The sequence below is a fragment of the Homo sapiens genome, chromosome 16 (genome assembly GCF_000001405.40).
Source record: "Homo sapiens chromosome 16, GRCh38.p14 Primary Assembly".
NCBI classification, from domain to species: Eukaryota; Metazoa; Chordata; class Mammalia; order Primates; family Hominidae; genus Homo; species Homo sapiens.
In genome coordinates this window covers 323,702-337,913 of record NC_000016.10, presented here as the reverse complement: position 1 = coordinate 337,913, position 14,212 = coordinate 323,702, and the positions used below count along the sequence as shown (strand labels likewise).

The 14,212-nt window shown below is 50.8% G+C and overlaps 1 protein-coding gene across 12 annotated transcripts in view, besides 2 other annotated features; it reads left to right on the top strand.

Annotated features, from left to right (window-relative positions):
* The window catches only part of AXIN1 (axin 1), a 65,284-nt gene that overhangs the window by 14,810 nt on the left and 36,262 nt on the right, over positions 1-14,212 (top strand). For 2 of the 12 annotated variants that reach the window (XM_047434731.1, XM_011522686.1), the window contains exon 1: positions 14,035-14,069. The exons of 8 other annotated variants lie outside the window; for them this stretch is intronic. In XM_047434731.1, coding sequence (XP_047290687.1) covers positions 14,050-14,069 — 20 coding nt within the window. In that variant the 5' untranslated portion in view covers positions 14,035-14,049. Of the gene's footprint in view, positions 1-12,970; positions 14,070-14,212 lie in introns of those variants that run through there. 2 more of the 12 variants (XM_017023745.3, XM_047434732.1) reach the window with 2 other exon arrangements.
* Positions 1,391-1,685: an enhancer, noted in NCBI's record as "tiled region #4309; K562 Activating DNase matched - State 5:Enh". NCBI's record gives its function as "activates a minimal TATA promoter and a strong SV40 promoter by Sharpr-MPRA in K562 cells {active_cell/tissue: K562}" and the evidence as "EXISTENCE:reporter gene assay evidence [ECO:0000049][PMID:27701403]".
* Positions 12,358-12,965: an enhancer, noted in NCBI's record as "H3K27ac-H3K4me1 hESC enhancer chr16:374949-375556 (GRCh37/hg19 assembly coordinates)". NCBI's record gives its function as "activates a minimal SCP1, AML or CMV promoter by ChIP-STARR-seq in naive H9 embryonic stem cells {active_cell/tissue: H9 hESC(naive)}" and the evidence as "EXISTENCE:reporter gene assay evidence [ECO:0000049][PMID:30033119]".

Sequence of the window (14,212 nt, the reverse complement as noted above, 5' to 3'; positions counted from 1 at the left end):
TGGTCACAGGGCTCTGTGAAAACACACACAGCTCTGCCATACTGCTGTGGCGTCCAGGGGGCCCCCAGAGGCCGCACGCCCGGCTGAGTGCCCATAGGGCCCAGATTCCATGCCCCTTCTCCTCCAGCAAGGACCCTGGGCCCTGTCCGGAGTTGAACGCTGGCTTGTGTGGATTGCAGCCTCGGCCCACGGGCTTCCTTTGTGATCCGTTGAAGCATCTGCTGGCAAATGGGCTCAGCTCTTGGCTCAGCTGGCTAGGTGGCCAGGTGGCCGGGTAGCTGGGCGTCCGGGTGTCCTGGCAGGCGCTGTCCTCACTGTGAGCTGCAGTGGGCTGCTTGGTCCTGTGCCCTGCTCATGGCACTCACCCTCCTGCCTCCTTTGAGGTTGCTCCAGTGCTTTTTTTTTTTTTTTTTTTTGGTTTTGACCCACTCTGGATCTTTACTAGCTCACCTGTAGTCTATGGGATTGGTGTCTGCTCCTAAACAAACATTTAAAATAACCCTAAGGAGTGCTGCTTGTAATATTCCAGCAAATAGGATGACTTGAATGCCCAGTGGCATTCATACAGTTGGATATGTGGGCTTTTAATTTTTTTCTTTGTTTTTCTGTATTTTCCAAATTCCTATAACAGCATGTTTATAATTAGAAAGTATATTATTAAAAGAATAAAAGCTTTAAAATATGCAGCTATTCAAAAGCACATTTTTTCTTTAAAAAGGATACACGTAAATGTGTCTTTTTTTTTTTTTTTTTTTTTTTTTTTTGAGACGGGGTCTTGCTCTGTCACCCAGGCTGGAGTGCAGTGGTGTGATCTCAGCTCACTGCAACCTCTCCCTCCCAGGCTCAAGAGCTCCTCCTCCCTCAGCCTCCCCAGTATCTGGGATTACAGGCGCCTGCCACCATGCCCGGCTAATTTTTTTGTGTTTTTAGTAGAGACGGGGTTTCACCGTGTTAGCCATCATGGTCTCCATCTCCTGACGTTGTGATCCACCAGCCTCGGCCTTCCAAAGTGCTGGGATTACAGGCGTGAGCCACTGTGCCTGGCCCACACCTGGTTAAGTTCTTGTATTTATGTTTTGTTTTTTTTTTTTTTTTTTGAGGCGGAGTCTTGCTCTGTTGCCCAGACTGGAGTGCAGTGGTGCAACCTCAGCTCACTGCAACCTCCGCCTCCTGGGTTCAAATGATTCTCCTGCCTCAGCTTCCTGAGTAGCTGGGATTACAGACATGCGCCACCACACCTGGCTAATTTTTGTATTTTTAGTAGAGATGAGGTTCCACCATATTGGCCAGACTGGTCTTGGACTGACCTCGTGATCTGCCCGCATTGGCCTCCCAAAGTGCTGGGATTACAGGTGTGAGGCACCGCGCCCAGCTGGTGTCTGTTCTTTTAGGGAACCAGCCCTCTTGGGTCAGGGCCCCACGTTTGCGTTCTCATCTAACAATAACACTTCCTTACTTCAAGCACAGCCACGTGATGGTCAGGGCTGACACATATTAATTGGGCGACACGGTTCGGTCCTTAGTGCCTTTTCTGAGTAACGTGCTCACTGCTATCTTGTGTCCACTGGCTCTTTGAGAGCTCTGCTGCTCTCCTGTCTCACCCCTACCCTGAGGTGTTCATGCACCAGGGCATGGTGCTTTCACTTCTGAGCCAAGTGGGTCAATCATTTTCTTTTTTGAGACGGAGTTTTGCTCTTGTATCCCAGGCTGGAGTGCAATGGCACCATCTTGGCTTACTGCAACCTCCGCCTCCTGGGTTCAAGAAATTCTTCTGCCTCGGCCTCCCGAGTAGCTGGGATTACAGGCGTGCATCACCACACCCAGCTAATTTTTGTATTTTTAGCAGAGACCAGGTTTTACCATGTTGGCCAGGCTGGTCTCGAACTCCTGACCTCAAGTGATCCCCCTGCCTTGGCCTCCCAAAGTGCTAGGATTATAGGCGTGAGCCACCACGCCTGGCCATTTTCTTTCCTGTACAATTTTGTGTGTTTGTTTTTGAGTTAATAATGGCCGTTTTTTTCATTTGATTAAATATTTTACTTTCCAACTTAAATCTTCCCATATTCTTCAGCTCAATAGAGTGCTTGTGAATATTCTTCTCCTCACTGTAAAACCTCTTGGATAAAGTATTTTTTCTCTGGAAGACATGTGTCCTGAAGTCTTCCATATTCCCACTCTGGTTGAAACAGTTACTCTTTAGGCATCCTGTGGTACTGGGTGCCTTGGAGCTGGTGTGTGTGGTACTGGCATGCTGTGTAACTGGGCGCAGTGGTACTGGGTGCTGTTATTGGGTGCCATGGTACTGGGTGTTGTGTTATTGGGTGCCATGGTACTGGGTGCTGTGTTATTGGCATGCAGTGGTACTGGGTGCTATGTTATTGGTGTGCCGTGGTACTGGGTGCTGTGTTATTGGCGTGCTGTGGTACTGAGTGCTATGTTATTGGTGTGCTGTGGTACTGGGTGCTGTGTAATTAGTGTGCCGTGGTACTGGGTGCTGTGTAATTAGCGTGCCATGATACTGGGTGCTGCATTATTGGCATGCTGTGGTACTGTGTGCTGTGTTATTAGTGTGTCCTGGTACAGACTAGTGGCCGAGGTGTGCCTGTGTGGAGATCTGAGGGTGACGTAAGTAGAGGCACTGGCGTGAGGGCCCCTCATGCAGTGTCAGGCTTGCACCTTTGCTTGGAAATTCCATTAGCTTTGGAATTTATAGCTTCGTGGTGCAGTGTGGAGTTATGTTGGAGATACCACAAAGATAAAGCATTTCCATGGTGAACAAAAAAGTTTACAAATAAAAGCAGTCCAGGCCGTTTTTATTTTGGCTTTGTTATGTGTCCACTTACTGCTGTGCATTCTATACGCCAATGGGAGTGTTTTGTAGATTCTCATGAGTTGGTTGCGTTTGGTTCATTTGGGTAAAGTGAAACTCCTTTTAAAAGAAGCAGAAAAAAATTAAATATCTCATAAAAATAAAGATTTTCTATTTCTGCCTCAGAGTGTTTCTCTCTAGTGAGTGGTGTGTAATTAGTGTGCCATGGTACTGGGTGCTGTGTAATTAGCGTGTCATGGTACTGGATGGTTTGCTTTTGGCATGCCATGGTGCTGGGTGCTGTGTTATTGGCATGCTGTGGCACTGGGTGCTGTGATATTAGTGTGTTGTGGTACTAGGTGCTGTGTTATTGGCATGCTGTGGTACTGGGTGCTATGTTATTGGTGTGCTGTGGTATTGGGTGCTGTGTAATTAGCATGCCATGGTACTGGGTGCTGCATTATTGGCGTGCTGTGCTACTGGGTGCTGTGTTATCAGTGTGCCATGGTACTGGGTGCTGTGTAATTAGTGTGCCATGGTACTGGGTGCTGTGTTATTGGCATGCTGTGGTACTGGGTGCTGTGTTATTGGTGTGTTGTGGTACTGGGTGCTGTGTAATTAGCTTGCCGTGGTACTGGGTGCTGCATTATTGGCATGCCGTGGTATTGGGTGCTGTGTAATTAGCATGCCATGGTACTGGGTGCTGGGTTATTGGCATGCTGTGGTACTGGGTGCTGTGTTATTGGTGTGTTGTGGTACTGGGTGCTGTGTAATTAGCGTGCCATGGTACTGGGTGCTGGGTTATTGGCATGCTGTGGTACTGGGTGCTGTGTTATTGGTGTACTGTGGTACTGGGTGCTGTGTAATTAGCGTGCCATGGTACTGGGTGCTGTGTTATTGGCATGCCATGGTACTGGGTGCTGTTATTGGTGTGCCATGGTACTGGGTGCTGTGTTATTGGCATGCCGTGGTACTGGGTGCTGTGTTATTGGCATGCCGTGGTACTGGATGCTGTGTTAGTGGTGTGCCTTGGTACTGGGTGCTGTGTTATGGGCATGCTATGGTACTGGGTGCTGTGGTACTGCGTGCTGTGTTATTGGATGCCATGGTACTGCATGCTGTGTTATTGCTGTGCTGTGGTACTGGGTGCTGTGTTATTGGCATGGTATGGTACTGGGTGCTGTGTTATGGGCATGCTATGGTACCTGGTGCTGTGTTACTGGTGTGCTGTGGTATTGGGTGCCATGGTACTGGGTGTGCTGTGGTACTGGGTGCTGTGTTATTGGCATGCTGTGGTACCTCGTGCTGTGTTACTGTTGTGCTGTGGTACTGGTGTTATGCGCTCATGCCAAAAGAACTTGAAGGAGAGATGAGTTGGGTTTAGAATTTAGGTTGGGTGGCACCCCCCCCATAAATTTAGAGGAATTTGCACCATCACCTTCTGTTTTTCTGAGCTGCCCTGGAAAGACCTGGCTCCATTCTCTTCATACGGTGTGGATGGTGCTTTTTTTCTTCCCTCCAGACATTTTTTGGATGTTTTCTTTATCAACAGTGTTATTTCATAATACTGTGTTTTGCTGGGGGCTTTTTTCTTTCATCGTGCTGAAGAAACTTGTCCTTTAATTCTGGAGTTTAAATGGTATTTGTTTCTTTTCTTTTTTTTTTTTTTCTGAGGCGAGTCTGGAAAAAAAGGCTTGAGCGATCCTCCTGCCTCAGCCTCCAGAGTAGCTGGGACTATAGGCACCAGCACACCCCACTAATTTTTTTTTTTCGAGATGGAATTTCGCTCTTGTTGCCCGGGCTGGGGTGCAGTGGTGCGATCTCGGCTCACTGCATCCGCTGCCTCCCGGGTTCAAGCAATTCTCCTGCCTCAGCCTCCTGAGTAGCTGGGATTACAGGCATGCGCCACCACACCCAGCTAATTTTGTATTTTTAGTAGAGATGGGGTTTCTCCATGTTGGTCAGGCTGGTCTCAAACTCCCGACCTCAGGTGATCCGCCTGCCTCGGCCTCCAAAGTGCTGGGATTACAGGCGTGAGCAATTGCACCCGGCCCACCTCGCTAATATTTTTTTACAGTTTTTTGTAGAGACAAGGTCTCCCAGTGTTGCCCAGGCTGGTCTCAAGCTCCAGGCCTTGAGCACTCCTCCTACTTTGGCCTCTCAGAGAGTTGAAATTGCAGGTGTGAGCCATTGATTGCATCTGGCCAGAAATGTTATTTCTTTGATAATTCCTTCTCTCCATCTTTACCATTTCTCATTTTAGAACTTATTTGAGATCTTATTTAGATTTTGGACCATTTAGAGTGATCCTTTAAATTTTAAATCTTTCATATATTTTGCATTTCTTTTTGTTGTGTTTTCATATCTTTTCAATACATTTTTTTCCTGCCCTTGCTTTCTGAATATACACTCAAAAAATTATACTTTTTTTTTTTTTTTTTGGTTTAGATCAACATTGTTTAGATCAAAATCTTTCTGGAGATGTTAAGATGTTAAGTGTAATTTTTTTTTTGTTTTCTTTTTTTTTTTGAGAAGGAGTCTCGCTCTTTCGCCCAGCCTGGAGTGCAGTGGCACGGTCTCAGCTCACTGCAACCTCCACCTCCCGGGTTCACGCCATTCTCCTGCCTCAGCCTCCCTAGAGCTGGGACTACAGGCGCCCGCCACCACGCCCAGCTAATTTTTTGTATTTTTAGTAGAGATGGGGTTTCACTGTGTTAGCCAGGATGGTCTCCATCTCCTGATCTCGTGATCCGCCCGCCTTGGCCTCCCAAAGTGCTGGGATTACAGGCGTGAGCCACCGCGCCCAGCCTGGCTGCAGGTTTTATATCCTGTTTCTAAAAGTTAAATATGCTTTACTTGTGATTGTGATGTTGCTGCTGCGAGTTCTCTAAACTGTCCTTGGACCGTGGGGCCCTCAGTTGTTGCTGGTCCACCACCATCTGCAGGAGCTGTGAACAGAGGACTGTCAGGGACCATTGTCGCTGCTGAAGGCTGCCGACCTGTGGACTCTCGCACTGCCTGTGTCAGGCGTCAGGCCATCCGCGAGCCCCTAACGAGGTGTGGGAGTGTCATGCCATCCATGTGGAAACTGAGGCCCTGGGAGATTAAGTAACTTCCCATCTGCTGTAGTCAGGGTCGGGCCCTTAGTCACCGTGGTCTCTGGAACCCACAGGCCTGGAAACAGCGCTTTTGAGCAGGGGCTCAGCGAGGCTGGGGGTCAGACTAGTGGCCGAGGTGCGCCTGTGTGGAGATCTGAGGGTGACGTAAGTAGAGGCACTGGCGTGAGGGCCCCTCATGCAGTGTCAGGCTTGCACCTTTGCTTGGAAATTCCATTAGCTTTGGAATTTATAGCTTCGTGGTGCAGTGTGGAGTTATGTTGGAGATACCACAAAGATAAAGCATTTCCATGGTGAACAAAAAAGTTTGCAAATAAAAGCAGTCCAGGCAGTTTTTGTTTTGGCTTTGTTATGCGTCCGCTTACTGCTGTGCATTCTATACGCTGATAGGAGTGTTTGATAGATTCTCATGAGTTGGTTGCGTTTCTTTCATTTGGGTAAAGTGAAACTCCTTTTAAAAGAAGCAGAAAAAAATTAAATATCTCATAAAAATAAAGATTTTCTATTTCTGCCTCAGAGTGTTTCTTTCCAGACAGAGGCTTCTTCCTGCTGCACACTCAGAGTCAAGGAAACTGGACACAGCTGCTTTGGAGTGTTAGGGACGTCCATGAGCTGTCAGCCCAGGGAAGGGCTCCAGGATCCCTGAGAATGTCATAAAGAGGGTAGACCCAGCTTGGAACTTGCAGTTTCTAAATTACTTCAAGGGAACAAACCAGAGTGCTTCATGTACAGAATTTTTTTTTTCATGTACAGAATTTTTACCTTAACTAGATTGATAAGTGTCCAGTGTTTTAATTTTTAATAAGACGTGGCTTTCAGAAGTTGTTATTTTCGTCTTGTAGCTTCAGCACTGAGAGCTGGTCTCCTTCAGGTGAGTTTTATGCAGGATTCAGGGACCATGACTGTAAGCCGGCAACCTGGTTCTGGGTAAGTGATGTATTCAGACTTCTGCTGAGGAGGCTCTGAGGCTGGCGTGAGACTTGCCACCCTGCAGTCTGCAAGGGCTGCAGTCTGGCTGGCCTTTGTAAAGACCCTGGAGCAATAGGGCAGATTGCATCTTGGCAAATGACTCTAAATTGCCTGCAATTTGCTGGGAATTGCCACTTCCAAATGTTTGTTGCAGCATAGATAATCTGAGCTTGTGAAAGGTCATTGGCTGTTCTTTGGAACCAGTAAATTCCTGGGGGCTTCTGCTCCAGGGGTGAAGGCTGGAGTGAGGGTGCTAGTGTCTCCTGGGGAGGAAAGCATAAAACATTTTTTTGTTCTACTTTTTAAATGTTACCACTCTTCATTACATAAAGTGTTTCTCATCAGATCCTTGTGAACCTAAAAATGTGATGTGAAGCCATTTGTGCAGTTCCAGGCTCTGAAGAGACTTTTGTGACATTGAAGAAATGTGGCAGTGAGCAGCACAAAACTGAATTCAATGCACGGTGTTCACGCTGAGCAGAGGAAAGAGGTCGTCAGTTTCATAACTGATTGTGCTGAGCACTAACTAGTGAGTCTCATTAGTGAGTTCTTTGGTGCATTATAATTTTCAAAGTGTTCTTCATGTACATTATTGCATAGTTTTCAGTCAATGCAAAGACAGATTGTTGTCAGAGTTCTATATGAAAGACGTTTGGTAGCGGGCACAGTGGCTCACATCTGTAATCCCAGCACTTTGGGAGGCCAAGGTGGGTGGATTGCTTGAGCCCAGGATTTTGAGACCAACCTGGGCAACATAGGGAGACCCCCATCTCTAGAAAAAAATAGAAAAATTGAGATGAGTGTGGTGGCATGCACCTGTGGTTCCAGCCACTAGGGAGGCTGAGATGGGTGGGTCACCTGAGACCGGGAGGTTGAGGCTGCAGTGAGCTGTGAATGTGCCACTGCTCTCCAGCCTGGTTGACAGAGAGAGACCCTCTCTCAAAAAAAAAAAAGGGCCGGGCACAGTGGGTCATGCCTGTAATCCCAGTACTTTGGAAGGTCGAGGCGGGAGGATCACGAGGTCAGGAGTTTGAGACCAGCCTGACCAACATGGTGAAACCCCGTCTCTACTAAAAATACAAAAATTGGCCAGGCGCGGTGGCTCACGCCTGTTATCCCAGCACTCTGGGAGGCTGAGGCGGGTGGATCACAAGATCAGGAGATTGAGACCATCCTGGCTAATACAGTGAAACCCCGTGTCTACTAAAAAATACAAAAAAAAAAAAAAAATAGCCGGGCAAGGTGGCTGGCACCTGTAGTCCCAGCTACTCGGGAGGCTGAAGCAGGAGAATGGCGTGAACCTGGGAGGCGGAGCTTGCAGTGAGCCAAGACTGCGCCACTGCACTCCAGCACTCTAGCCTGGGCGACATAGCGAGACTCCGTCTCAAAAACAAAAAAAAACAAAAATTAGCCGGGCATGGTGTTGTGCGCCTGTAATCCCATCTACTCGGGAGGCTGAGGCAGGAGAATTGCTTGAGCCCGGGAGGCGGAGGATGCATTGAGCCAAGATCACGCCATTGCACTCCAGCCTGGGCAACAGAGAAAGATGCCATATCCAAAAAAAAGAAAAGAAAGAAAACACAGAACAAAGAAATGGTCTGATATCCCACTGCTCAGAGATACTACTATTCTATCTAGATCGCTCTAGATTTTTCTTAGCACATTTTTTTCATCAAAAATGGGATCCTAATTCATGTTACCCACTCTGTATGTTTTTCAGTATCTTTTTTTTTTTTTTTTTTTTTTTGACAGTCTCGCTCTGTCGCCCAGGCTGGAGTGCAGTGGCGCGATGTCAGCTCACTGCAACCTCTGCCTCCTGGGTTCAAGCGATTCTCCTGCCTCAGCTCTTGAGTAGATGGGATTACAGGTGCACACCACCACGCCTGGCTAATTTCTATATTTTTAGTAGAGACAGGGTTTCACCATGTCGGTCAGGCTGGTCTCGAACTCCTGACGTCGTGATCCTCCCTCCTGCCTTGGCCTTCCAAAGTGCTGGGATTACAGGCGTGAGCTACCGTGCCCAGCCCACTATCATTTTAAATAGTTACTGGTGTGAGCAGCGTGGCAGCACCCAGGGGTTGTGCAGAGAGGACAGGGTGCCTGGCAGACCCTCCCTGCCCGCCATCTCTCCTGGAAAGCGGAGCAGCAGCTTCAGTCTGTGGGGGACTGTGCAGAGAGGACAGGGTGCCCGGCCACACTCTCCCTGCCTGCCATCTCTCCTGTCTGTAGCACCCGTTGCCATGTGCCTTTCAAAATCATGAGTGTTTGGGTTCCTGTGAATATGCTGTTCTTGTTAAGTATTTAATTTATTATTATTTTTTTTGACATGGAGTTTCGCTCTTGTTGCCCAGGCTGGAGAGCAATGGTGTGGTCTCGGCTCACTGCAACCTCTGCCTCCTGGGTTCAGGTGATTCTCCCGCTTCAGCCTCCCGAGTAGCTGGGATTACAGACATGTGCCACCACGCCTGGCTAATTTTTTTTTTTTTAGTAGAGATGGGGTTTCTCCATGTTGGTCAGGCTGGTTGCGAACTCCCAACCTCAGGTGATCCGCCCGCCGCGGCCTCCCAAAGTATTGGGATTACAGGCGTGAGCCACTGCACCTGGCTGTATTATTATTATTTTTTTTAGTGACAGAGTCTTGCTGTGTTACTCAGGCTGAAATGCAGTGGCATGATCATGGCTCACTGCAGCCTCAGCCTCCTGGGCTCAGGCGATCCTCCTGCCTCAGCCTCCTGAGTAGCTGGGACCACAGGTGCATGCCACCACACCTGGCTAATTTTTTAAATATTTTGCAGAGACGAGGTCTCACCTTGTTGTCCAGGCTGGTCTTGAACTCCAGGACTCAAGTGATCCATCTACCTCAGCCTCCCAAAATGCTGGGATTACAGGTGTGAGCTACCCCGCCCAGCCCTTGGCTAATTTTTGCAACATTTTTTTGTAGAGACAAGGTCTGGCCTTTTCACTCAGGTGGGTCTTGAACTCTTGGCTTTAAGGCATTCTGCCTCAGCCTCCTACAGTGCTCGGATTACAGGCTTGAGCCACTGTCCCCAGCCTGGTGAAGCATTTGTTTAGAGTCTCACAGACAGTTAGTTGGAATTGTGGGTTTAACTGTGACCTGCAGCCTTTCCCACCCAGTCCCCTAACTAATGTGCAGGACACTTTGGTTGCTAGGCTGTAGTGAGGGCTTTCTGCATCATGTGCCTGGCCTCACCCAAGCACTGTTTGCTGAAATGCTCAGAAACTTTATAAAGAAGTGGCCACTGTCATTTCCGCTTTGTAAGCTAGGAATTGGCAGACTGCCTGTGGTCAGTAGCCAGTAAGTGCTGGTGAGGGGCATTTGGCCACAGTTTGAGCTGTTGGACTCCCGGGATGGCAGGTGTGGGTGGCTGCCAGGGCTGCCCCGCCTGTGCTGCGCCTGTGGACAGTCTGCAGAAACACACACCCTCCCTATCGTCACTGTTTGATTTTGATCATAAAGGGCCTTTGGTGTGTTGTGCGGTTCACAGTGAGTGGGTGGGGGCACCAGCGGTGTTATAAAACAAAGAAAAGGCTGGCCGCAGCGTGGAACCACAGCGAGGCCTCCTAGGCACAGGCCGCAGGGCTGAGCCGGAAGCTCCTGCCTGGTGCCTGGTGACTCATTCTCTTGCCCTTTTGTGTCTGCCACCCTGAGTGACCGAGAAATCACCTGCTCATTCAGTGTGAGCAGAAGGGGTGAGAGTGCCCTGCCCCATGGTCATTCAATGCTGTCTGGTCAGCCCATCACCTGTTCCTGCCCCTGAGGGTGACACCAAGTGTCTGCCGCCATGCAGAACACCCACGAGATACGTAGGTGGAGTATTCTGGGACCTGATGGGGGTGCTGGCAATCTTTTTTTTTTTGAGACGGAGCCTCGCTCTGTCGCCCAGGTTGGAGTGCAATGGTGCGATCTCGGCTCACTGCAAGCTCCACCTCCCAGGTTCATGCCAGTCTTCTGCCTCAGGCTCCCGAGTAGCTGGGACTACAGGCACCCGCCACCGCACCCGGCTAATTTTTTTTATATTTTTAGTAGAGATGGGGTTTCACCGTGTTAGCCAGGATGGTCTCCATCTCCTGACCTCGTGATCCCCCCGCCTCGGCCTCCCAAACTGTTGGGATTACAGGTGTGAGCCACCACACCCGGCCAGTGCTGGCAATCTTGGCTGACGCTTCAGGCAGAGGCCACATCCCTGATTTTATGGAGGAAGTAAAATAGAGATTTTCATAGCTGACGGTGGCCTGATTTTGATCACTTTTTTTTTTTTTTTGATCCCACTCTGTCACCAGGCTGGAGTGCAGTGGCGCGATCTCGCTCACTGCAACCTCCGCCTCCCAGGTTCAAGTGATTCTCCTGCTTCAGCCTCCCGAGTAGCTGGGACTACAGGCGTGCCACCACGCCCAGCTAATTTTTTGTATTTTTAGTAGAGATGGGGTTTCACCATGTTGGCAAGGATGGTCTCAATCTCTTGATCTCATGATCCGCCCGCCTTGGCCTCCCATGGTGCTGGGATTACAGGTGTGAACCACCGTGTCCGGCTCTCAATCACATTTTTTAGTATAAACTTTGTGACCTTTGGGTGCAAAGGTAGGTTATTTATCTATAGGTGTGTATATATATATATATATATATATTTTTTTTTTTTTTTTTTTGAGACGGAGTTTTGCTCTTGTTGCCCAGGCTGGAGTGCAGTGGTGTGATTGTGGCTCACTGCAACCTCTGCCTCCCCAGTTCAAGAGATTCTCCTGACTCAGCCTCCCGAGTAGCTGGGATTATGGGCGCCTGTCGCCATGCCCAGCTAATTTTTTGTATTTTTAGTAGAGATGGGGTTTCACCATTTTAGCCAGGCTGGTCTTGAACTCCTGACCTCATGATCCGCCCACCTCAGTCTCCCAAAGTGCTGGGATTACAGGCATGAGCCACCACGCCTGGCCCTTGTTATATATATAGTATATAAGTGACAGCATCTGCATGAATGGGGGCCAGTTGTCAGTATTGCTAAAACAGAAGCGAGACCTCTCCATGCCGGTGTGAACCAGGGCGGGCCTTTTCGTGGCCAGCGTGAGTGAGTGGGGCCCTCTCTGTGGTCAGCATCTGCATTTTGTGTGCTGTGCCTTTGTCACATTCATATGGAAGTTCATGTGAGGTGAGGAAATGCTTGTCCTGCTTCTCCCAGTGCCTGTCTGCTTTGGTCGTTTCTTGGTGTTTCCGAAGGCCCCGTCATGAGAGAAGATGGAGCTAACACAGAGCAAGGTGCCGTGTTGGGGAATGGCTCTCCTCTCTTCTTCTCAGGGCTGGAGCCTGCAGCCACGTGGGACAGACCATAAGTTGTACACACGACGCTGTGGCAGCCATCACTCTGGGGCGGTGACCGCTCCTTGGCAGTCGGCCCCTGCGGGCAGTGGGTTGAGCCCTGGTCTGGGCGCCCTTGACCAGGTTTGTGTCTGGACTGGGGGAGGCGAGACGTGGGGAGGGCGCTGGCTGTGGCCTGGCTGTTGGCCTCGGGGTCAACTCTGCCCGCTGGGAAGCGCTGCCCCAACTCCAGTGGCACTGCCAAGCAGTTGGAGAAAAACACCGTGGTGCATCCTGGCATGCCACGGCATAAAAGGGATGAGTCGCTGATAACCATGGAGGCAGGGGTGCATCTCAGGATCCTGTGCCAGTGAAGAAAGCCAGAGCGGAGGGGGCGCCGGAGCAGCGGGGGGCACTAGCTCCCCATGAGACTGCGTTTATACAGAATTCTAGAAAAGGCCGACTGACCTCGAGCGACAGGTGGATTTCCCCAAGGGAAGCCTCCCCAGGCTTCCGGGTTGAATATGTGGGCTGAGGCGATGGTTTCCTGGGGTGCGGGGCCGCCCGCGGGGCTGAGGCGATGGTTTCCTGGGGTGCGGGGCCGCCCGCGGGGCTGAGGCCATGGTTTCCTGGGGCGCGCCCGCGGGGCTGAGGCTGTGATCTGGTGCGCGTCAGAACGTGCCAGGTAGGACTGTGGTTCTGTGCGGGTCCGCTGAGCACCCAGCCGTGCGTCAGTAGAGCTGATTTTTACACAGCCGTTTCCTTGCCTTTGTTCATCCCGGAGTTCTGCGCCCTTAGGAACTGTGCACCGGGCGCTGCTGCCTCCCTGAAGGCTTGGGCAGAGCCTTTCCCTGCGCGGGACTCGGGGGCTGGGCCTGGGAAGGGCCTGCGGCTGCCGGAAGCTGCCTCTGCAGGGCGGGTTCTGTCTGCTGGCTGTGCTGTTCCGGGGGGTCGGGATGCAGGTCGCTGATGGCACTGGCCGTGTCTGAGGATTGGACCGCTCACCTGGGGTGCCCCTCCTCCTCCTGGTATAAAGTACGACTTAGCTTGTCAAAACAGGGATCAAGTAAGTGTGTCTGTGTCATGTGCTGACGTGCGGCGTGTGGTCTTGTGATAACACTGGAAGCGCCTACTGACCACCTGCGGGCGTTTTCTGCTCAGTTGTGTTTGTCAAGCTTCTGTTTATCTCCACAAACTCTGCGGGACACTGGGCGGGTTGGTTGGGAAGCTGCTCATGGTGCCCTTGGCCATGTGATCCTTGCAAACCTCCCCGGAGGACCGCGGGCCTGTGAGGCCTGTGCCTGACCCGCCTTTCCATATCGCTTCTGCCCTGCGCTGCTTCCAGCCGTTTCTATGCACCCGCATTCCGGCCCCCAGCCTCCTCCCAGGAGGGCTCAGAAAGGATCCGGCAGGAGACCTGTAGAGCAAATGTAGCCCCCATGCCATGGCATCGGCGTCCTTGAGCAGGTGGCCTCGTGCCCAGTGCCGACCCGTAATGTGGCCCGGAAGACCCGTAAAGACCCGTAAGGCGGCTCACTGACACTTGGCCCCAGATCTGCCCCTCATGGAGGCTGCTGGTCAGTGCGGACGGTCCCGGGTATTTCAGATGTGACTCTTGTGGGCTGCAGGGCTCTCCTGCACTGGGCTCCCCATGGTCTGCAGGGTTTCCTGTGGGCTACGGGGCTTCCCATGGACAGGTCTCCCCATGGACTATGGGGCTCTCCTGTGGGCTTTGGGGCTCCCACAGGCTGGTGTCTCCAGGGTGGGTTGCTCATTCTGTGCCGTATTCCATCCCCTGTCGCAGTTGACACCTTTTCCCTTTGCACCCACAGTGGTGAAGACCTGTGCTTATGCTCCTAGAGAGACGCAGGTGAGAACCCAAGTCACACCCCTCAGTGTTTTGTTTTGTTGGTGTGTGTGTGTGTGTGTGTGTGTGTGGTGGAGTCTCACTCTGTTGCCCAGGCTGGAGTCAGTGGTGTGATCTCATCTCACTGCAAGCTCCGCCTCCCGGGT